Source organism: Homo sapiens, chromosome 20 (assembly GCF_000001405.40).
Source record: "Homo sapiens chromosome 20, GRCh38.p14 Primary Assembly".
NCBI lineage: Eukaryota > Metazoa > Chordata > Mammalia > Primates > Hominidae > Homo > Homo sapiens.
The window spans coordinates 56553407-56577278 of NC_000020.11; the positions used below are offsets into that span (position 1 = coordinate 56553407).

At 46.8% G+C, this 23872-nt stretch overlaps 1 long non-coding RNA gene across 1 annotated transcript, besides 1 other annotated feature; it reads left to right on the forward strand.

The window, feature by feature from the left end:
- The first annotated feature begins 511 nt into the window (after nucleotides 1-511).
- On the forward strand, nucleotides 512-2205 carry LOC124904971 (uncharacterized). The gene is made up of 2 exons (XR_007067758.1): nucleotides 512-552; nucleotides 1282-2205. It is a non-coding gene; the product is annotated as an uncharacterized LOC124904971 (long non-coding RNA).
- Nucleotides 1430-1479: an enhancer, noted in NCBI's record as "active region_18143". NCBI's record gives its function as "activates an Ori minimal core promoter by ATAC-STARR-seq in GM12878 lymphoblastoid cells {active_cell/tissue: GM12878}" and the evidence as "EXISTENCE:reporter gene assay evidence [ECO:0000049][PMID:35858748]".
- Nucleotides 2206-23872: the final 21667 nt, after the last annotated feature.

Here is a 23872-nt window from a genome sequence, read left to right on the forward strand (position 1 = left end):
TCCTGGGCTTCATGGTCAGGGAAGACCTTTAAGAGGACACTTTGGAACAGAGCATGCACAGAAAGTACAAAGGTCCTGAGCCCCGCTCCTGCCTACCAAGGGTACACGCTGCCCTTAATTACACATTCATTACCATTGCGACTGGGTTTCTGACTCACAGCATTAAAGGAGAAGCTTCGGGAGGGCACAACCCACCACCATCGGGTCTCCACTGCCAAGCCTAGGCAATGCCTGGCTCACAGTAAATGCTTAACAAATGAGTTATTATAATAATACAAAAATATAAACATGAGTTATTATCATAACTCATTTATTATATAATATTATATATTAGTTTTATATATTACATAACTAATACAACAAATATAACTAATAATTTCACAATGTGACCTTGAAACATTAACCAAATTTTTTTGTTTTTGTTTTTGAGACAGGGTCTCGATCTCTCACCCAGGCTGGGGTACAATGATGTGGTCTTGGCTCACTGCAGCCTTGATCTCCTGGGCTCAAGCGATCCTCCAACTTCAGCCCCCTGAGTAGCTGGGACTACAGGTGCATACCACCACGCTGGGCTAATTTTTAAATTTTTTGTAGAGACGGGTCTCACTTTGTTGCATAGGCTGGTCTCAAACTCCTGAACTCAAGCAATCCTCCTGCCTTGGCCTCCCAAACTGCTAGGATTACAGGCATAAGCCACTGCACCTGGCCACTCAATACATAAACTAAGATATTAATTTGCATAAGCCAACCTTACTATATTAGCCCTTATCTTCCATTAGTTCTCCCATTTCCTGGTCACTTTCCTACAGTTTATCATTGCTTGAAACCCAAACCTTATTTCCTTTGTTAAAATGCTATATAAGGTCAGGCACAGTGGTTCACGCCTGTAATCCCAGCACTTTGGGAGCCCAAGGGGGATCATCTGAGGTCAGGAGTTTGAGACCAGCCTGGCCAACATGGTGAAACCCTATCTCTACTAAAAATACAAAAATTAGCCGGGCGTGTTGGCGGTGCCTGTAGTCCCAGCTACTCCGGAGGCTGAGGCAGGAGAATGGCTTGAGCATGGGAGGCAGAGGTTGCAGTGAGCTGAGATCACACCACTGCACTGTAGCCTGGGCAACAGAGCAAGACTCTGTGTCAAAAATAAAAGTTATATAAGCCTGAATCTAACCATTTCTTTGAGTTTTACTTCTTTTCTATAAATTCTCATGCATGTAAATATTAACAAAAATTATATGCTTTTTCTCCTGTTAATCTGTCTTTTGTTACTTTAATTTGCAGATCCCAGGTACCGAACTGAAGATGGTAGAGGAAAAGTTTTTCCTGCTTAACATATTCAACTCTCTACCCTCAATATATTTGGCTGTTATTATTCTGGTTTACATGTATCATAATTTAACCAGTTCCCTACTGGTGGATGTCTAGGTTTCCCCGATGTTTTGCTATTAAAAACACACATGGTACACGTTTTTCTAGATCGGGCAGGGTTTGCCCATCTCCACTTCAAGCAGCACAACCACCATCTGCCAGTGTTGGGGTTTACTCTACAGTCAGCAAACACTGTTGGCACATCCAGTCAGAGAAACTGAAAACAGAAAGCAGAAATGGCTTACACTGGACTAATTTTAGAATTTCTAAGTACATTTAAGTGATGACTCATCCCACTTAAATTCAAAGCTGTTTGTTGTGCCATCTGGCTCATCAGAACATGAAAGACTTCTCCTGCAACCTGGAAAAAGGCCAGAGAGGAAGACGAATGGAGGAGTCAACCCCATGGGAATGCTGACTGAGTGTTAGCTCCCCGTGGACAGGAATGTCACTGCATGAATAGGCTGCAGTATGTCTGGGCCTGTTTTTTTTTCATAAAATGTTCCCCCCCTGTTTTTTTCTTATTCCAAAGCAATGCAACAAAAAGCACAAGAAATCAAAAAGGAAAAAATAGATATTGGACTTCATCAAAATGAAAAACTTTTGTGCTTCAAAGGAAATGGAAAGAAAGTGAAAAAACAACTGAGGGAATGGAAGAAAATATTCTCAAATCATCATCTAACAAAGGTTGTGTTAGTCTGTTCAGGTTGCTGTAACAAAATATCATTTCAGGTCACCAGGTGGCTTAAACAACAGATTCAGTTGGCCCTCCGTATCCATGGGTTTCAGGCCTTCGACTTCAACCAACCTCAAATAAAAAATATTTTTAAAACCCAATACGGCCGAGTGCGGTGCCTCATGCCTGTAATCATAGCACTTTGGGAGGCCGAGGCGGGGGGATCACTTGAGGTCAGGAGTTCAAGACCATCCTGGCCAATACATAGTGAAACCCTGTCTCTCCTAAAAATACAAAAATTAGCTGGGCATGGTGGCGGGTGCCTGTAATCCCAGCTACTTGGGAGGCTGAGGCAGGAGAATCGCTGGAACCCCGGAGGCAGAGGTTGCAGTGAGCCGAGATCGCACCATTGCACTCCAGCCTAGGAGACAGAGCCTTCTGTCTCTAAAAAAAAAAAAAGAAAGAAAAAGCCAGTACAGCAATAAAAAATAATAAAAATCTTAAAACAATGTAGCATATTGTTTTAAACTATTTAAACTACAATTACTTACATAGCATTTACATTTATAAGTAATCTAGAGATCATTTAAAGTACACAGGAGGATATGTGTAAGTTATGCGCAAATACTACACAATTTTATATCAGGGACCTGATCATCTTTGTTTTTTTTGTTTTGTTTTTTGTTTTTTGAGACTGAGTCTTGCTCTGTCACCCAGGCTGGAGTGCAGTGGCATGATCTCAGTTTACTGCAACCTCCACCTCCTGGGCTCAAGCAATCCTCCTGCCTCAGCCTCCCGAGTAGCTGGAACTACAGGCATGCGCCACCATGCCTGGCTAATTTTTGTAGTTTTAGTAGAGAAGCGGTTTCACCATGTTGGCCAAGCTGGTCTTGAACTCCTGGCCTAACGTGATTCGCCTGTCTTGGCCTCCCAAAGTGCTGGGATTACAGGCGTGAACCACTGTGTCAGACAGAGTAGACTCCGTCTTAAAGAAAAAAAAGTTTTGGTGCCATTCCATGCAACGTGGAGAGAAATGTCGCATTCAGGAGGGAAGGCTCCCAGACACTTAACTCTCCACTCCAGGCCAGCTTTCTGGAGGCACCAGGGCTTTGTCAACGCATAGATGAGGAGTCAGCCATTGAGTGTGACAGTGTGAGGCAGTGGAGAAGGCATAGAAGCTGGAAGCTGGAAGTCCTGCCTTCCTAAACCACAGCTGCTTCTTACCAGCTGTGTTACCTTAAGTAGGTCCCTTAACCTCTCTGAATCTCATCGCAAAGTGCTTTTCGAATAGAGCAGGATCATTGAGAGGATTCAGTGAAGTATTTACTCTTGAAACCCTTAGCATGGAGCCTGGCAAGTACCAGGTGCTTAGGAACAATCCTTCATTATCACACCAAAAAAGGTGCTGTGGACACCCAAGGAAACAAAATCCCTTCGATAAAGAATTTTAAAATTTTAGTCTTATGAACCGTGCTATGTATTCTCCTGCCTTTTTGACAGAATAGACTGAACATCCTTTAACCTTTTTTGATGGTGCAAGATCATCTCTTATAAGACAAAAATTCAGGCCAGGCATGGTGGCTCATGCCTGTAATCCCAGCACTTTGGGAGGCTGAGGTGGGTGGATGGCTTCAGTCCAGGAGTTCGAGACTAGCCTGGGCAACATAAGTGAGACCCTGTCTCTACAAAAAATACAAAACTTAGCCAGATGTTTTGGTGTGCACCTGTGGTCCCAGCTACTCAAGAGGCTGATGTGGAAAGATGGTTTGAGCTCGGGAGGCAGAGGTTGCAGTGAGCCAAGATTTTGCCACTGCACTCCAGCCTGGTGACAGAGCAAGACTCCATCTCAAAAAAAGAAAGGCAAAAATTCCCTCAGAGTGCAAAGCTTGCCAGTATTTAGAAATCCAACATTAGTCTTCATTCAGCAACCAGTCATTCATTTGCCAAACATGAACTTTCCCTAGAACTCCATACTTCTTTGGACGTGTGAGACACTGCCAGAATAATTATTCAAGCACTGTGTGGGCCAGGTGCGGTGGCTTACGCCTGTAATCCCAGCACTTTGAGAAGCCGAGGCAAGACGATTGCTTGAGCTCAGGAGCTCGAGACCAGCCTGGCAACATGGTGAAAGCCTGTCTCTATTTAAAAAAAAAATTAGCCGAGTGTGATGGTGCCCTCTTGGAGTCCCAGCTACTCAGGAGGCTAAGGCGGGAAGATCATTTAAGCCCAGGAGATGGAGGCTGCAGTGAGCTGTGATCTACCACTGCATTCCAGCCTGGGTGACAGAGCAAGACCCTGTCTAAAAAAAAAAAAAAGAAAAAAAAGAAAAGAAAAGAATGAGTGGGAGGGCGAGGCGCGGTGGCTCACGCCTGTAATCCCAGCACTTTGGGAGTGGGAGGTGGGTGGATTACCTGAGGTCGGGAGTTCGAGCTCAGCCTGGCTAACATGGTGAAACCCCGTCTCTACTAAATACACAAAATTAGCTGGGCGTGGTGGCACACGCCTGTAATCCCAGCTACTCCGGAGGCTGAGGCAGGAGAATCGCTTGAACCCAGGAGGCGGAGGTTGCAGTGAGCCGGGATTGTGCCACTGCACTCCAACCTGGGCGACAGTGAGACTCCGTCTCAAAAAAAAAATGAAGTACTGGTACCTGCAACAGACACAAAAGCCACATATTATATGATTCCCTGTGTGTGAAATGTCCAGAAGAGGCAAATCCATAGAGCTGACAAGTAGAATGGTGATTACCAAGAGCTTAGGAGAGGAAGGGCTAATGGCCTTGAGGTTCTTTTTAAGGTGATGAGCATGTTTATTTGGAGACAGAGTCTCGTTGTGTTGCCCAGGCTGGAGTGCAGTGGTGTGTTCACAGCTCACTGCAGCCTCAACCTCCTAGGCTCAAGTGCTCCTGCCATCTCAGCCTCCCGAGCAGCTTGGACCACAGGGCTGAACCATCACCCCCAGCTAATTTTTTCTGTTTTTTGTAAAGGCAAGGTCTCACAAAATCCCAACATGCTGGGATTACAGGCGTGAGCCACCATGCCTGGCCCCTACTCATTCTTTTTTTTTTTTAAGATGGAGTCTTGCTGTGTCACCCAGGCTGGAGTGCAGTGGCACAATCTTGGCTCACTGCAACCTCCACCTCCTGAGTTCAAGCAATTCTCCCTGCCTCAGCCTCCCGAGTACCTGGGATTACAGGCGCCTGCCACCACGCCCAGCTAATTTTTGTATTTTTAGTAGAGATGGCGTTTCACCATGTTGGCCAGGTTGGTCTCGAAATCCTGACCTCAGGTGATCCACCCACCTTGGCCTCCCAAAGTGCTGGGATTACAGGCATGAGCCACCGCGCCCAGCCGCCCCTACTCATTCTTAATCACACCACCTGACTTTCTCCACATTGATCACATTAGGATATTATCTTGTTTATTTACAGAAAATCTGTGTCCCTCTTCAGTGCACTGGACTCTTCGGTGCACTGGATGCTCAATGCAGGCACTAAGTTTTGTCTGACTTACCACTGGTTGTATGCCCTGCTCACAGCTGGTGAATGAGTGATTGGAAACACACCTGCTCCCTTGATTTAGGCCTCTGGGAAACAAGGGCAAGGTAAGTTCAGGAAGAAGAAAGACCTCGTAATTTCCAGGTAGGAAAAATCCTTTGGTGTGGCCGTGAGACACTGCATTCTTCTTGGCCACAGCTCCCTCTGCTTTGAGAATCACATAATCAACTTTATCTTTCTCTGAATCGTTCACATAAAAGGGAGGTGTTGGAACACAAGGTGGAAATGGGTGTGTTGGCGGTGGCTGAGGAAGTCGGGGCAGGAGGAGCCACTGTTTCTGGGAATGAATTCCTGAAACTTGCTGGTCCCACCAAGATGCAAATCTTGCGGCAGTTTTTACAGTTATCCTGTGGAAGAAGTGAGGATCCCACTCCAAGCCCAGGTCAGAATGCTGATAATCCCCTCTGATCAGGTTTTTTTAATTTTATTTTTATTTTTTGTGGTTTGGGGAAGATTTGCCAACTGTATCCTCTTTTCTGGCAAGGAAAATTTATATCTGCCCAATGAAATCAGGAATTTAACTTCATTCATTCAACAGTTATTTAATTCTATCCTCTACTAGATTCCTACAGCTGCTGTAACCCTAAAGTACCACAAACTGGGTGGCTTGAAACAACAGACACGTAGCCAGGCGCAGTGGCTCACGCCTGTAATCCCAGCACTTTGGGAGGCTGAGGTGGGCAGATCATCTGAGGTCAGGAGTTCAAGACCAGCCTGGCCAAAACGGTGAAACCCTGTCTCTGCTAAAAATACAAAAAAAATTAGCCGGGCATGGTGGTGGCGCACGGCTGCCATTCCAGCTACTCGGAATGCTGAGGCAGGAGAACCGCTTGAACCTGTGAGGCGGAGGTTGCAGTGAGAGCGAGACTCTATCTCAAAAAAACAAAACAAAAAACCCCAACAACAACAGACATGTATCCTCTCACGGTTCTGGAGGCCAGAAGTCTCAAATCAAACGATTAGCAGGGCCATGTTCTCCCTCCACAGGCTCTTGGGGAGAATGTTTCTCTGCCTTTCTCTTCGCTGCTGGTGTTGCTGGCAGCTCTTGGCACTTTTTGGGTGTAGGCTCATCACTCCAGCACCTGCCCTGGGGTCACATGGCTCTCTCCTCACTGTGCCTCTTCTTTTTTTATTTTTGAGACAGGGTCTCATTCTGTGGCCCAGGCTGGAGTGCAGTGGCACAGTCTCAGCTCACTGCAACCTCCTCCTCCCCAGGCTCAAGTGATCCTCCTACGTCAGCCTCCCAAGAAGCTGGGACTTCAGGCTCATGCCACCAAGCCCGGCTAATGTTTTGTATTTTTAGTAGAGAGAGCAGTTTACCATGTTGCCTAGGCTAGTCTCGAATACCTGAGTTCAAGTGATCTACTTGTCTCAGCCTCCCACAGTGCTGAGATTACAGGTGTGAGCCACTGGGCCGGGCCCTCCTCTTTTTTTAAAAAAACAAAACAAAACAAAAACATTTATTTTAAGTTCAGGGGTACATGTGCAGCTTTGTTATACAGGTAAACTTGTGTCACGGGGGTTTGTTTTACAGATTATTAATTTCATCACCCAGGTATTAAGCTAGTATCCATTAGTTATTTTTTCTTTTTTGTTTTTTTTTTTTTTTTGAGACAGAGTTTCACTCTTGTTGCCCAGGCTGGAGTGCAATGGTGCCATCTCGGATCACTGCAACCTCCGCCTCCCGGGTTCAAGTGATTCTCCTGTCTCAGCCTCCCGAGTAGCTGGGATTACAGGCATGAGCCACCGTGGCCAGCCTAGTTATTTTTTCTGATCGTCTCCTTCCTCCCACCCTCCACCCTTGGCCAGACCCCAATGTGTGTTGTTCCCCTCTATGTGTCCATGTGTTCTCATCATTTAGCTCCCATTTGTGAGAATATGCAGTATTTGGTTTTCTGTTCCTGCATTAGTTTGCTAAGGATAATGACTTCTAGCTCCATCCATGTCCCTGCAAAGGACATGATATCATTCCTTTTTATGGCTGCATGGTATTCCATGGTCTATATGTAGCACATTTTCTTTATCCAGTCTATCACTGATGGGCATTGAGGTTGATTCCATGTCTTTGCTATTGCGAATAGTGCTGCAGTCCTTTTCTTCTAAGGATACCGGTCATATTAGATTATGGGTCCACTCTCATCCAGTATAACCTCATCTTAAATGATATCTTAATTATATCTTCAAAGAAGTAAGGTCACACTCACAGGTACTGGGGTTAGGACTTCAACATAGGTTTTTTGGGGGAAACTATTCAATGCCTAACACAACCTCTCCAAGAAAAAAATCTTACTGAAATTTTAATTGGAATTGTATTCAATTTATATCATAATTGGGGGATTTTGACTTTTGTGTTTTTTTTTTTTTTTTTTTTTTGAGACAGAGTCTCGCTCTGTCGCCCAGGCTGGAGTGCAGTGGCACGATCTCAGCTCACTACAACCTCTGCCTCCTGGGTTCATGCCATTCTCCTGCCTCAGCCTCCCATGTAGCTGGGATTACAGGTGCCCGCCACCATGCCTGGCTAATTTTTGTATTTTTAGCAGAGACGGGGTTTCACCATGTTGGTCAGGCTGGTCTCAAACTCCTGACCTCAGGTGAACTGCACGCCTCAGCCTTCCAAAGTGCTGGGATTACATGCGTGAGCCACCATGCCCGGCAACTTTTTCTTTTTCTTTTTCTTTTTCTTTTTTTTTCTTTTTTTTTTTTTGAGATGGCGTCTTGCTCTGTCACCCAGACTGGAGGGTAGTGGCGCCATCTCAGCTCACTGCAACATCTGCCCCCCCGGGTTCAAGCGATTCTCCTGCCTCAGCCTCCAAGTAGCTGGGATTATAGGCACCCGCCACCATGCCTGGCTAATTTTTGTATTTTTAGTAGAGATGGGGTTTTGCCATGTTGGCCAGGCTGATCTCGAACTCCTGACCTCAGGTGATTCACCCACTCCGCCTCCCAAAGTGCTAGGATTACAGGCATGAGCCATTGCGCCCAGCCAAATTTATTTCTAAGTGTTTCATAGTTTTTGTCTGCATGCTGAATGAAAATGTTTCTTATTTAAATTTCTAGGTGTTTATTGCTACAGTGTGAGAAAACTATTGTGTGGTTTTTTTTGTTTGTTTTTTGTTTTTTTTTAAGATGGAGTCTTGCTCTATCGCCCAGGCTGGAGGGCAGTGGCTTGTTCTGGGCTCACTGCAACCTCCGCCTCCTGGGTTCAAGTGATTCTCCTGCTTCAGCCTCACTAGTAGCTGGGATTACAGGTACCCACCACCAGGCCTGTCTAATTTTTGTATTTTTCGTAGAGATGGGGTTTTGCTATGTTGGCCAGGCTGGTCTGGAATTCCTGACCTCAGGCGATCCACCCACCTCCGCCTCCCAAAGTGCTGGCATTACAGAAGTGAGCCACCACGCCCAGCCTTGTTTGATGTATATTTATCCTGAGACTAGCCATCTAACCAAACTTTCTTATTTATTCCAGTGTTTTGAAAAAATAACTAGTATGTTTTGAGTTTTCTAAGCACACAGTCCTATAAATAGAGAAATGATTGAATGTTGCATCTTAGAATATTTTGCAGGATAGGAAAAATAACCTAGGGCTATCTATCAGCTGGCCATGACAGCTTTCCACAAGGTAGTGTTAACTAAGGAAAGCAAGATGTAAGAAAGAATGCTTAATATAATCTCAGTTTTGAAAAACAATGAGTGGGCCGGGTGCGGTGGCTCTGCCCTGTAATCCCAGCATTTTGGGAGGCTGAGGCCAGCGGATCACGAGGTCAGGGGTTTGAGACCAGCCTGGCCAACATGGTGAAACCCCGTCTCTTCTAAAAATACAAAAATTAGCTGGTGTGGTGGCACGCTCCTGTAGCCCCAGCTACTTGGGAGGCTGAGGCAAGAGAATCACTTGAACCTGGCAGGCGGAGGTTGCAGTGAGCCAAGCTGCACCGTTGCACTCCAGCCTGAGCGACAGAGCAGGACTCTGTCTCAAAAAAAAAAAAAAAAAAAATCAGTAAAAGGCAATATGTGTGTATTAGGATATATGGTTTTTTCTTTGGTTTTTTTGTTTTTGTTTTGTTTTTTGAGACAGAGTTTCGCTCTCGTTGCTCAGGCTGGAGTGCGATGCGCAATCTCGGCTCACTGCAACCTCCCGCTCCCGGGTTCAAACGATTCTCCTGCCTCAGCCTCCCTAGTAGCTGGGATTACAGGCATGCACCACCACGCCCAGCTAATTTTTTGTATTTTTAGTAGAGACAGGGTTTTGCCATGTTTGTCAGGCTGGTCTTGAACTCCTGACCTCAGGTAATCCGCTCACCTCGGCCTCCCAAAGTGCTGGGATTACAGGAGTGAGCCACTGCACTCGGCCAGGATATATGTTTTGTATATGATTTCACATTCATAGAGAAAATACAGAATTTTAGGTTAACATGAGCCACTTTGTGTAGGTGGGGAACTAACATGGGGGCAGAAAGGAGAAGAGAAGGAGATAAGCAGAAAGTGAAATTAAACAACCTGCCAAAAGATCCAAAATCATTATGACATGGTCACATTTATGCATGTATGTAATTTATGTGTGTGTGTATACATATATATTTGTATATGTTCATAGAAATTTAAAATAATTTCTTTTTTTTTTTTCTTTTGGAGATGGGGTCTTGTTATGTTGCCCAGGCTGGTCTCAAACTCCTGGGCTCAAGCAGTGCTCCCACCTTGGCCTCACAAAGTGCTGGGATTACAGGAGTGAGCCACTGCACCTGGCCTAAACATTTTTTTTTTTTTCAGATGGGGTTTTATGCTGTTACGCAGGTTGGAGTGCAGTGCTACCATTTCAGCTCACTGCAACCTCTGCCTCCCAGGCTCAAGTGATCCTGCCACCTCAGCCTCCTGAGTAGCTGGGACCACAGGCATGCCCCACCATATGTGGCTAATTTTTTGTATTTTTGGTAGAGACGGTTTCACCATGTTGCCTAGGCTGGTCTTGAACTTCTGAGCTCAGGCCATCCGCCCACCTCAGCCTCCCAAAGTGCTGGGACTACAGGCGTGAGCCACCATGACTGGCCCTAAAATAATTTTTAAATGAACACAAAAACAAGCAAACAAGCAAAATGTAGATAAAGTGGCTGTTGAAGACAGGCCTTGGCTGGGTTCTGGAATAGCCGAGATGAGGAAGGCTGCACCCTCAAGGACACCCCACAGAGAACCTCTGACTGCTGGTGACAGGAGGAATGCAACGACAACGGAGGGTCCCACTCACCAGCATCCGTGCCCTGTGTTGTCACAGCAGCCCAGTTTTCCTTTGGGGAACCACCTCATCTCCCCATCCCTTCTCTATCACCTGCACTGTGTATCATCTTGGTGGGACCATCAAGCAAGACACTGCCCAGTGGCCCCGTGCGGTGTGGCTCACGCCTGTAATCCCAGCACTTTGGGAGGCCAAGGCGTGCAGATCACTTGAGGTCAGGAGTTCGTGACCAGCCTGGCCAACATGGTGAAACGCCGTGTCTACTAAAAATACAAAAATTAGCCGGGCATGGTGGTGGGCACCTGTAATGCCAGCTGCTCGAGAGGCTGAGGCAGGAGAATCTCTTGAACCTGGGAGGCAGAGGTTGCAGTGAGCCGAGATCACGCCATTGCACTCTAGTCTGGGCAACAAGAGCAAAACTCTGTCTCAAAAAAAAAGAACACTATGCTCAGCCCCAGCAGAGGTGGCTGAGTCTTCAGGGCAGCCAGCCAGATGCTCCTCTGGAAATGTGACTCAGGAATGAAGGGCCAAGCACAGTTGAGCCCAAGCTCTCAACATGAAGGCCTCTTGGTCTTGCTCCTTAAAACCAGGAGGCCGGGCACAGTGGCCCACGCCTGTAATCCCAGCACTTTGGGAAGCTGAGGCAGGTGGATCACCTGAGGTCAGGAGTTCGAGACCAGCCTGACTAACATGGTGAAACCTTGTTTCTACTAAAAATACAAAAAGTTAGCCAGGTGTGGTGGTGCACACCTACAATCCCAGCTACTCGGGAGGCTGAGGCAGAAGAATCACTTGAACCCAGGAGGCGGAGGTTGCAGTGAGCTGAGATTGCACCAGTGCAGTCCAGCGTGGGTGACAGAGTGAGACTCCGTCTCAAACAAACAAACAAACAAACAAACCACACTAAATAATTATGAGAATGCAAAGTGAAAGCTGGAGCAAGCAGAATTAAGGCTCAGGAGGAGGGTGGGTCTGGATCTGGGAGGATCACAAAAGCAAGCCAACTCCCCCAGGCCTAAGGGAGACCAGCTTGCAGTTAGACACAACTGAGGGAAATGGGCTGACATTTCCTGTATCTTCCAGGTGTAAGCCCCAGAGAAAGCAAGTCACTGGATCAGGAACCATGGTCTCCTGGATCCAAATCTAGGCTTTTCTCCCAGAAAGGACATCTGCCAGGGATGCCTGGTCCAGGTGGTGGAGGCTGGGTGGCTCACCGTTCTGTGGTTTCCGTCTTCGTGGAGAGTTTATTCCCTCACGTTGATGATGACGGAAGGGCAGGGCTTCTTCAAGGTGGCTGCTTCACTGGTTTGTGATCCACCCAGTGTACTCGGAGAGCTTCTCGCCACACTTTTTCTGTAATTTGCCAGAAATAGTAAATATTTTAGGCTTCATGGGCCGTCTGTTCTCTGCCACGGTGCTAGACTTTGTTGTAGTGACAGCAGCCATACTGTTTACATATTATCTGTGGCAGCTTTTGACACCATATGGAGTAGAAAGCCTACATTTTGCTATCTGGTTCTTTACAGAAGAAGTTTGCCAACCCTGTCATATAGTATGAACATCTTTCTTACCACCATCTTTTTTTTGAGATGAAGTCTTGTTATATTGCCCAGGCTGGAAACAAACTCCTGGGACCAAGAGATCCTCCCCATTCAGCCTCCCAAGTAGCTGGGACTAAAGGCACATCACCAAGCCCTGCTGCTTACCACCAATTTTTTTTTTTTTTTTTTGAGATGGAGTCTCTCTCTCGCCCAGGCTGGAGTGCAATGGTGCGATCTCAGCTCACTGCAACCTCTGCCATCCGAGTTGAAGCAATTCTCCTGCCTCAGCCTCCCGAGTAGCTGGGATTACAGGGGTGCGCCACCACGCCCAGCTGATTTTTGTATTTTTAGTAGAGACGGGGTTTCACCATGTTGGCCAGGCTGTTACCACCATTTTTAATGGCTGCATTTTGTTTCCCTTCCACCAATGCTTCCAAAGCTGCTTAGTAATGACATTCAAAACAGAATCTGCCAAGATAAGACACCTTTTGAATAGCAATAGGAAAAGTATCTGCAAATCCTGACTTCTCAACCAGCCCTGCCCTAGTGTCTAAGCTCCGACGGGCTGAAAAATGGGCATTTTCTAAGTCATTTCTCCTGATCCAAGATCTTGAAACTCTTCAAACTTATAAATTAGGCCACCTGCTGAGCAATCCTGTAGGCCCTGTCCTAAGATGACTCAGGGCAGTCTCTTCTTTTCCCTGTAACCTGGTCCTATTCACGTGAAGCTATTTTTCAGCTATTTGCAAAAAGCTCCTTAAAATCTATTTTTCCCTTTAATTATAGTTTGCAGCTGGTCTTTCTGAAAGCAAAGAATTTATTGCTTGCCAAGGGCCATTAAAGATCAAGCTGGGTTAGGGGGTCTCCTTGCTGAATCCAGGGAGGAGGGTTCAAGACAGAGGCTATTTCCGAACCAGTTTTTCTAGTTCCCAGGCACTCTCCGGATTCTTCTCTGGGTTTACTTTTCTTAGGTGGAAACCCTACCTAGATTTGCAAATGACGTGGAGCTCTTTGTCACCCAAGATCCCTTGGGGCTCATGGGTCAGTCATTGTTTGGAAAGTGTTGCCTCTTAGGCTTTTCTATTTTTATAAAAGAGGGATTACTGTCTTTGCTCCCTGTAACCTTGGACTACTGCCAAGTTTTCTTGGTGGCATTTTCACTTGATAAATATGAGCCTTTCTGCTCCTGACCCAGAAGAGTGCTTCTCCTAGCAGTCTCAGGAGTTTCAGACCTAGTTATACCCCTGCATTTATCGCCTCAGACATGTCAAATGCAGATGTCACCTCCCAACCAACTTTTAGACACATTGGTGGAGCCAGAAAGATATAAAAGATTATCATTATGCTAATTTTTTAAATGTACAGAACTGCCCTTTTTAATCTTTAATTTTGGAGTTTTAGCCACAACTCCTTTAAAATAAAATAATATAATAATTTTTTTTTTTTTTTTGAGATGGCGTTCGCTCTTGTTGCCCAGGCTGGAGTGCAATGGCGTGATCTCAGCTCACCACAACCTCCGCCTCCCGGGTTCAAGCGATTCTCCTGCCTCAGCCTCCCTAGTAGCTGGGATTACAGGCATGTGCCACCACACCCAGCTAATTTTGTATTTTTAGTAGAGGCGGGGTTTCTCCATGTTGGTCAGGCTGGTCTCAAACTCCCAACCTCAGGTGATCCACCCACCTCGGCCTCCCAGTGTTGGGATTACAGGTGTGAGCCACTGCGCCCGGCCTATAATTTTTTATTATTAAATGATCATTAGAGAATAAATAACACTGTAGGACAAATTTTCCCCTTCCATTTTTTTTTTTTTTTTTAGATGGAGTCTTGCTCTGTCACCCAGGCTGGAGTGCAGTGGTATCACCTCGGCTCACTGCATCCTCTGCCTCCTGGGTTCAAGCAATTCTCATGCCTTGGCCTCCCAGTAGGTAGGATTACAGGTGTGCAACAGGCCCAGCTAATTTTTATAATTTAGTAGAGGCAGGATATCACTATGTTGGCCAGACTGGTCTTGAACTCCTGACCTCAAGTGATCAACCCGCCTCAGCCTTCCAAAGTGCTAGGATTACAGGCATGAGCCACTGTGCCCGGCCCCCCCGCTTTTTTTTTTTTTTTTTTTTTTTGAGAGTGTCTTCTTCTGTCGCCCAGGCTGGAGTGCATTGTTCCATCATGGCTCACTGCAGCCTCGACCTCCAGGACTCAAGCAATCCTCCCACCGCAGCCTCCCCAGTAGCTGGGATTACAGGAGTGCACAACCCCTCACCCAGCTAATTTTTGTATTTTTTGTAGAGACAGGGTTTTGCCATGTTGCCCAGGCTGGTCTTGAACTCCTAGGCTCAGGTGATCCTTCTGCCTGGGCCTCCCAAAGTGCTGGGATTACAGGCATGAGCCACCGCACCTGGCTAAATCCAAGGATTTTTGTATCCACGGGTGGATCCTGGAACCACTGCGCCAGGGATACCGAGGAATGATTATACAGAAAAAGGAAATTTTCTGTATACAAGGAGAACCCAGTTGGAAACACCTCAGCATTTGCCTTATTTGAACACAGTTTAAACATTTGGCTGCCTGCAACTAACTGAAGCTCAGCTAGCTATTGGTTAAAAGAATATACTCCTAATTTAGCCTCTCAGTTAATTTATGTGTTATGTTAGGTTACAGTTCATTACATAAAGGCCAAAGTATGGAAGCCTCCTCAGGCCAAATTTAGTTTAATTTAACAATTCCTCCCTTTTGGTCGGTCTCAATTTTGAGAGACTGACCAAAACCTTGACACTACTCTCTGTCACCATCATCCGACTAAATACGGAACTTACTTAGTCTCTGTATACAATTCACAAGTCACAACAGTTGAACAATTCTTTATCTTCTGGCAGATCTAGTTCAAATGAGACCGTTCAACATTTGACGAATGATTGTATACAAACATTTAAGATGTGAGAGGATAGGATACGGTGCACCAGGAGGACTATTATAATGGCTGTCAGGAGGGTTACACCAAAAAGACTGAAGTGTACTCCTTAACAAAAGCTTGTAGGAACTGAACCCATCCAAATCAAAGTTCAGGCAATATAGACAGCTCAATAATATTTGGCCATGGTCTGTATTCTGGATTTGATGGCAATTAAGGACTATAGTTTGGTGTAAAATGGCCTGATTTAAAGAGGTATCTGTTTTTGTTGTTAGCCTGATAATACAGGCTGTAGCAATCTAGAGACTTACCAAGAGAACAAGATGAGAAAAGCTTGGAAACACCAAGCTGGCCATCCACCGCTGAGGAGGCCCGTGGACCAACTGGTGGCTGCTCCCATAAACACATCATCTGTTCCTTTTCCTTGAGAAATTCTCTTTTTTATTGTTGTTGTTACATTGGCAATTTTTTTTTTTTTTTTTTTTTTTTTTAGCTAGAGTCTCGCTCTGTCACCCAGGCTGGAGTGCAGTGACGCGATCTTGGCTCACTGCAAGCTCTGCCTTCCGGGTTAAAGTGATTCCCGTGCCTCAGCTGCCCAAGCAGCTGGGATTACGGATGCACACCACCATGCCTGGCTAGTTTTTGTATTTTTAGTAGAGACAAGGTTTTTGCCACGTTGGCCAGGCTGGTCTCGAACTCCTGGTCTTAAGTGATCCTCCCAACTCGGCCTCCCAAAGTGCTGGGATTACAGGCATGAGTCACTGCACTCAGCCATGTCTTGAGAAATTTTCTTAGTGTATTTGGTAGCAGTGTCTAAAGAAACAACAGTATCAGCCACCTTTTTTTTTTTTTTTTTGGAGGGGTGGACAGAGTCTTGCTCTGTCACCCAGGCTGGAGTGTGCAATCTCAGCTCACTGCAACTTCTGCCTCTGGGGTTCAAGCAATTATCCTGCCTCAGCCTCTTGAGTAGCTGGGATTACAGGTGCACGCCACCATGCCCAGATAATTTTTGTATTTTTAGTAGAGACGGGGTTTCACCATGTTGGTCAGGCTGGTCTCGAACTCCTGACGTCATGATCCGCCCACTCAGCCTCCCAAAGTGCTGGGATCACAGGCGTGAGCCACTGTGCCCTGCCTTCAGCCACCTTTTTAATTAAGCTTTCTGTAGTAGGAAAATCAAAAGAAAAATAGATACAATATTCCGTTTTCTTAAAAACCATATACAAGGCTCCGACTTGAGACAGAAGGAGATCTAAAGCAGGATGCTCTGCTAGGTGTTTTTGTTGAACACATGTATTATCACCCACTTTTTAGAAAGTGGCTTCTACCCCTCTGAACAGCAGGGAGGTCTGGCTGACTGCAAGGTCCAAGGTGTTTCCCCAGTTTACAGATGAGTGTCAAATTCTATACTACTAGTGTCCCACAACTGCCAAGAGTGAGCCTCCAGAAACCTCACTGGAATCTTTCCTCGATGAAACTAACTTGTCTTCATAAACCCCATAATTGCTCAGGTTTTTGCTAAAGCATAAACCTTAGCTAAGGCCATTCATAAACTATGGTTCCATGGATTTTCCTGGAGAGTAAAGGAAAGGATTAAGACAGCAAAAAATGAAGAAAAGAAAAAGAATGCTGGGTGTGGTGGCTCACGCCTGTAATCCCAGCACTTTGGGAGGCCGAGGTGGATGGATCACCTGAGGTCGGGGGGAGTTCGAGACCAGCCTGACCAACATGGAGAAACCCCCTGTCTACTAAAAAAATTAGCTGAGCATGGTGGTGCACGCCTGTAATTCCAGCTACTTGGGAGGCTGAGGCAGGAGAATTGCTTGAATCCGGGAGGCGGAGGTTGCAGTGAGCTGAGATCATGCCATTGCACTCCAGCCTGGGCAACCAAGATTGAAACTCCGTCAAAAAAAAAAAAAAAAGAAAGAGAGAGAGAGAGAGAAGGAGGGAGGGAGGGAGGGAGGGAGGGAAGTAAGGAAGGAAGGATGGAAGGAAGAAAGGAAGGAAGGAAGGGAAGGAGGGAAGGAAGGAAGGAAGGATGGAAGGAAGAAAGGAAGGGAGGGAGGGAGGGAAGGAAGGGAGGGAGAGAGGGAGGGAAGGAAGGAAGGGAGGGAGGGAGGGAAGGAAGGGAGGGAGGGAGGGAGGGAGGGAATAAGGCTTTCCTGATGGTAGAGGAGCCTTGATCTTGGAAAAGCCGTCCAGGTCTAGAACACCATCTGCTTCTGGGGAGAAATTTTCCCCAGCTAGCTTTACATTAAAGTCTCTAACGGAGGCCAGGAGCAGTGGCTCACACCTGTAATCCCAGCACTTTGAGAGGCCAAGATGGGTGGATAACTTGAGGGTCAGGTGTTTGAGACCAGCCTGACCAACATGGTAAAACCCCACTCCTGGTATCAATTTTCTGTGTTAGTTTGTTCTCACACTGCTATAAAGAACTACTTGAGACTGGGTAATTTATGCAGAAAATTAATTTAACTAACTCACAGTTCTGCAAACTTAATGGGAAGCATGACTGTGAGGCCTTGGGACACTGACAATCAGCAGAAGGTGAAGGGGAAGCAAGCACCTTCTTCACAATGGCGGCAGGAGAAAGATATAGTGAAGGGGGAACTGCCACACACTTTTATTTACTTTTTTTTTTAATTTATTTTTTTGAGACGGAGTTTCACTCTTCTTGTCCAGGCTAGAGTGCAATGACACAATCTCGGCTCACCGCAACCTCCGCCTCCCCGGTTCAAGCGATTCTCCTGTGTCAGCCTCCCAAGTAGCTGGGGTTACAGGCACATGCCACCACACCCAGCTAATTTTTGTATTTTTAGTAGAGACGGGGTTTCACCATGTTGGTCAGGCTGGTCTCGAACTCCTGACCTCAACCTCCCAAAGTGCTGGGATTACAGGCATGAGCCACTGCACTGGGCCTGAATTTACTTTAATTTAACAGAATGCAATTATGGGCAATGAGATAAAGAGGAAAATGTTCTGACATTTCTAGAAATTTGCTCACACCTATATGAAATCTTACTTTCTTTCATTATCTCACCTGATACTCATAAAAACTTTGTGCAAGGGATTTTGAGGAGTACTAATATTTAGGAGAGTTGGGCAGATGAACAACTAACAAAGGTAAACAATCGAAAGATCCAAGAAACCAAGTGACGTTATTGTTTCAAAGAGGCACCGCTCCACAATTTCAAAGGCTGCTGAGAAATTAAGAATAAGAAGGTGACCTGTGTGTGGCTGATAGATGAACAAAATGGAAGCTATTAGTGAGCTTGGTACCTTTCTTGAGCCGTATTGCTTATTCATATCTCATTCCATTTGTCTTGATATTCTGCCCAGAAGCTGGGACCATGCTTTGCACATGGCAAGTGCCCATTTTATGTCTGTTAGTAGCAGTTTTGCTGAGTGACTGAAACCAGAGACTTAGCAGAGATGGGTGTGCTCAGAGTTGGCCTCCACTCTATTCCCATTACAAAGCAAAATACAATACAAAGCAAAATACAAATACAATACCAATACAAAGCAAAATTCCCATTACAAAAACTCATCGCCAGACAGTTCTACTTACAGGAATTTGTCCTAAAGACAGTTCCCCCAAAGCCTGAGATGCTCTACTTACAAGGATATTAATTGCAATGCTATTTGTAATAGCAAAAGGCGGGAAACCACCTAAATTCCACCAACTAGAGATTGTGCAATAAGCTGCAAAGCATCCAGTCAGTGGGGCAATAGGATGCCCCTTTAAGAAAGAACAAGGCTGGCCGGGTGTGGCGGCTCACACCTGTAATCCCAGCACTCTGGGAGGCTGAGGCAGGCAGATCACCTGAGGTTCAGGGGTTCAAGATCAGCTGGGCCAACATGGTGAAACCCCATCTCTAATAAAAATACAAAGATTAGCCTGATGTTGTGATGCGTGTCTGTAATGCCAGCTACTTGGGAGGCTGAGACATGAGAATTACTTGAACCTGGGAGGTGGAGGGTGCAGTGAGCTGAGATCATACCACTGCATTCCAGCCTGAGGGTGACACAGTGAGAATCTGTCAAAAAAAAAAAAAAAGGACGGAAAGAAAGAGCGAACGAGGCTGATGCCTCTGCACTGAGATGGTCTCCACGATGTATTTGAAAAGTGGAGAGAAAAGAGGGCAGAACCTTACGGAGGGAAAAAAAGACAATTAAAAGAACAGCTGGGCCAGATGCAGTGGCTCATGCCCATAATCTCAGCACTTTGGGAGGCCAAGGCAGGTAGACATCTTGAGCTCAGAAGTTCAAGACCAGCCTGGGCAACATAGTAAGACCCCCTCCCCCCAACCATCTCAACAAAAAATACAAAAAATAGCCAAGCATAGTGGCATGCCTGTAGTCCCAACTGCTTGGAAGGCTGAGACAGGAGGATTGCTTGAGCCTGATTGAGGCTTCAGTGAGCCATGATCGCGCCACTGCACTCCAGCCTGGGCAACAGAGCGAGACCTTGTTTCAAAAAAAAAAAAAAAAAAAAAAAGGAATTATTTCAATGGATCTTGCAGTATTGACTGGATAGAAGGCTGGAAGCCAATAAAGCAAAGAGAATACAAATAGACTGACTGTTCTAGAAATTCTATGGGTAAAGGAAGAAGGGATTAATTAGAAAGCATACATTTATTTATGTATTTATTTATTGAGATGGAGTCTCGCTCTGTCACCCAGGCTGGAGGGCAGTGGCGCAATCTCGGCTCACTGAAACTTTTGCCTCCTAAGTTCAAGTGATTCTCCTGCCCCAGCCTCCTGAGTAGCTGGAATTACAGGCACCCACCACCCTGCCTAGCTAATTTTTGTATTTTTAGTAGAGATGGGGTTTCACCATGTTGGCCAGGCTGGTCTCCGGACCTCAAGTGATCCGCCTCCCAAAGTGCTAGAATTACAGGTATGAGCCACCGCGCCCGGCCAGAAAGCATACATTTTTTATTTAGATTGTATGCTTATCTGGCGTGGCTTGATACGGGGGTGCTGATGGGGATTGGGAGGTAGAGAAATACCCTCCCAATAATAATAGCCAAACGCAACATAGCACTTGTGATATTTTCTGTGAATTTTATTAGTATGAACTCATTTCAACCTCCTAACAACCCTGTGGGGCAGGTCCTTTTCATACCCCCATTTGTGAGGACACAGTGGCCTTTCTAATATCACACACCAGCAAGTGTCAAAGCTTCAAACCCAGGCAGCCTGGTCACAGAGAGTCACATAACTGCTCTGCAAACCTGCCTCCCTCTGCTTCAGAGGGGCTCAGATTCGGGGTTTACCTCTCACTAGCTGGGCAAGCTTAGGCACTGGCCTTCTCAGAGCCTTGGTTTTCTCGCCGCAGAATGAGGGTAACTGCAGAGTTGTTGAGAAGCATTTGAAGCACCTGATTCTTGGTGCTCAATACAGGGAACGTGTGATAGTTACTGCCGACTTAGAGCAGAGCTTAGGCAGGCACTGCACCAGGATTTGACTATTGATGCATCTCCAAGCTGAGCCTCGGTAGGCCTGTGGTCCCATGCTAGAGAGCAGCTGCCAGTGCCTCCATCTGCTGCAAAGCTTGGCTGTGTGTGGATGGGTGGGACAAGTCACTCCAGAAGCTTCTCCCCTTAAGACATCCTGACATTAAGGGATCTTCTTCCTTTGCTCCTCTTTCTGTCCTCCCTGCCCCCCTTCCTCCCTCCCTTTCTTCCTTAAATGCCCAAAGTCAGTTGATACCTTTTCTTAAGTAACTCAATAAGCAATACAGGCAGTTTGCTCATGGTTGGCAGTGGGCAGGATTAAGGGAGGATTAGGGCCCTTTGTCAATGTCTCATCTCCTGTCTGCAGAGACAAGACCTGAAGGATTGCTAAAGAATGCCCTTGGTAACAACTGTTTCTCCAGGACCTTGTTTGGCTTCCCCCTGGCTGGGTGGAACCCGCTGTGTGCAGCCTTCGCAGGGAGGTGGGCCGAAGGCTGCCAACGTTGGAGCAGGTGAGCTATGGCATTTGCATTGGGCTGGGTCTCCATTCTTGGGCCAAATCAACTCACCTCTTGGGCGAGTTGCTTCAGACTTCAGAAACAAGCCACATCATGCCGAGAGGCTTTCCCCCCAGTTCCAGGGCCCAAGGGTGCAGGCACATAGCCAGCCCAGCCTTCTCTTCCCTGTGTGTTCCCTTCTCCCCTGGGTTTCTCCTCCCTTGTGAAGAAACAGCACACCTGCTTTTACACAAGGCCAGTCCTCCACGGGCGCCCTCATCCCACCCCTTTTGACCTTCTCAAGGACTACAAGTCTCTAATGATCCTCTCCCTCTCCTGACTCATCCATCTCTCCCTCTCCCTTGTGACTCAGCAGTGTACAGACCTGCTTCTAGATTAAAACAAAAACAGAAACCCCTCCGACCACCCCCTCCACCTTTTTTCCTGCTTTTCCTCAGAGACAAACTTCTCAGCACCCCCTGCCTCCTTTCCTCAATTCCCGTCCATTCTCCAGCCCACTTCCAGCTGGCTTTGGCACCCACTGTCCCTCCTCTCAGATTCACTCTTGTCAAGGTCACCAGGAATACCCGGTGCACAGTACAACAGGCACTTCCATGTCCTCGCGGGATGGGTCTTCCCAGCTGCACTTGACGCAGCTGACCCAGGGTGCTCCCCTGCTTCCCCTCCTGGGGCACGCTCATGGCTTTCCCGCCTCCTCCCTCTGACCCTCCTGCCTCCTCCCTCTGATCCTCCTGCCTCCTTCCTCGGACCCAGGGCGCTCTCCTCCCTCCTCTCCTGGAACACGCTCATGGCTTTCCCACCTCCTCCCTGGCCATCTCTTCTCAGTCTTCATTTCCAACTTTTCCTCTTTCTGTTCTCTGAATGTTGGCTTTCTGCATGGCTAAGCCCTGGGTCCCCCTCTAGCTAGACTCTCATGGGATGGTCTCATCCATGGCCAAGGTTTTTAACATAATCTAGAAGCTGAGACTCCCATATTGCATCTCTGGTCTTGCTGTCAACTCACATGTCCGTGGCCTGCTGGATACCCCTGTTCTGTCTCTTGGGCATTCCACACTTAGTGTTTCCTAAATCAGACTGTCCAGGGCCTTCCACATTGGTTTGCTCCCAGTCTCCCTTGGAGCCGGCACTGGTGCCACCCTTCCACCTGGTGCCTGGCTGCCAAGCTTGATTCCCTCCTCCTCCTCCCTAAACCCTCCCCTCCTCAGACCTCACTTTTTCCATCCTCACATTGCCACCCTAGGCCAGGCCACCATCAGCTCCTGCCTGGACACTGTGACAGCCTCCTAAGTGATCGACAGCCCCCATTTTTCACGCTGCTGCCATTGAGATCTTTCTAGAATAAAAATCAAATCAAGCCAGTCCCTTGCTTAAAACCATTTCACGCTCCCTATTGCTCTTCAGGTGAAGCTAACCTCCTTAACTTGGTTTACACAGCCCTTCCCAGCCAGCCCCTCCCTGCCTCTCCCACCTCCAGTGCCACCCCCAGACCTCAAGTGATCCACCCACCTCAGCCTCTCAAAGTGCTGGGTGGTGGCTCACACCTGGCGTCGTCCTCTTCCTCCCTTCCTCTTCCCCTGCCCCTTCCCCTTGCCCTCCTCCTCCTCCTACTCCTCCTTCTTCCTCCTCCTTCTTCTATGAGTGGTCAGTTATTCCAATGATAGATTACAGAATTGGCTTCTGCCTTTCAAAAATTAAATCATAACCCATCTCCTGAAGTTTGAACACAGCCTTGCCTAATTTTGTTTCATTTATGTTATTGTTATCACTACAGTTATTTGGGGTGGCCTGAGGACACGGCTGGAGCTGGAGTGTGGCTGTGACCTCCTCTTGACATCTTTCTGCACCACTATTAATGGTATCCCAAGTGCTGGGCACAGAGGAGGAGATAGATCAATATTTGATGAATAAATGGCTGGGCGTGGTGGCTCACGCCTGTAATCCCAGAACTTTGGGAGGCCTAGGCAGGTGAATCACCTGAGGTCAGGAGTTCAAGACCAGCCTGGCCAACATAGTGAAACCCCATCTCTACTAAAAATGCAAAAATTAGGCCAGGCGGGGTGGCTCACGCCTGTAATCCCAACACTTTAGGAGGCTGAGGTGGGCAGATCACCTGAGGTCAGGAGTTCGAGACCAGCCTGACTAACATGGAGAAATCCCATCTCCACTAAAAATACAAAATTAGCCAGGCGTAGTGGCACATGCCTGTAGTCCCAGCTACTCAGGAGGCTGAGGCAGGAAAATCGCTTGAACCTGGGAGGCGGAGGTTGCAGTAAGCCGAGATTGCGCCATTGCACTCCAGCCTGGGCAACAAGAGCAAAACTCCGTCTCAAAAAAAAAAAAAAAATTAGCTGGGCATGGTGGGGCATGCCTGTAGTCCCAGCTACTTGGGAGGCTGAGGCAGGAGAATTGCTTGGACCCAGGAGACGGAGGTTGCAGTGAGCCAAGATCACGCCATTGCACTCCAGCCTGGGCGACAAGAGCAAAACTCAGTCTCAAAAAAAAAAAAAAAGACTTTGATGAATAAATGAATGAACGAATGAAATCACTCTCAAACCAGAGCTTCAAGTTTCATGTTATTGGCCTGGAGCGGTTAATTTTATCAGCATACACAAGACTCTCAGT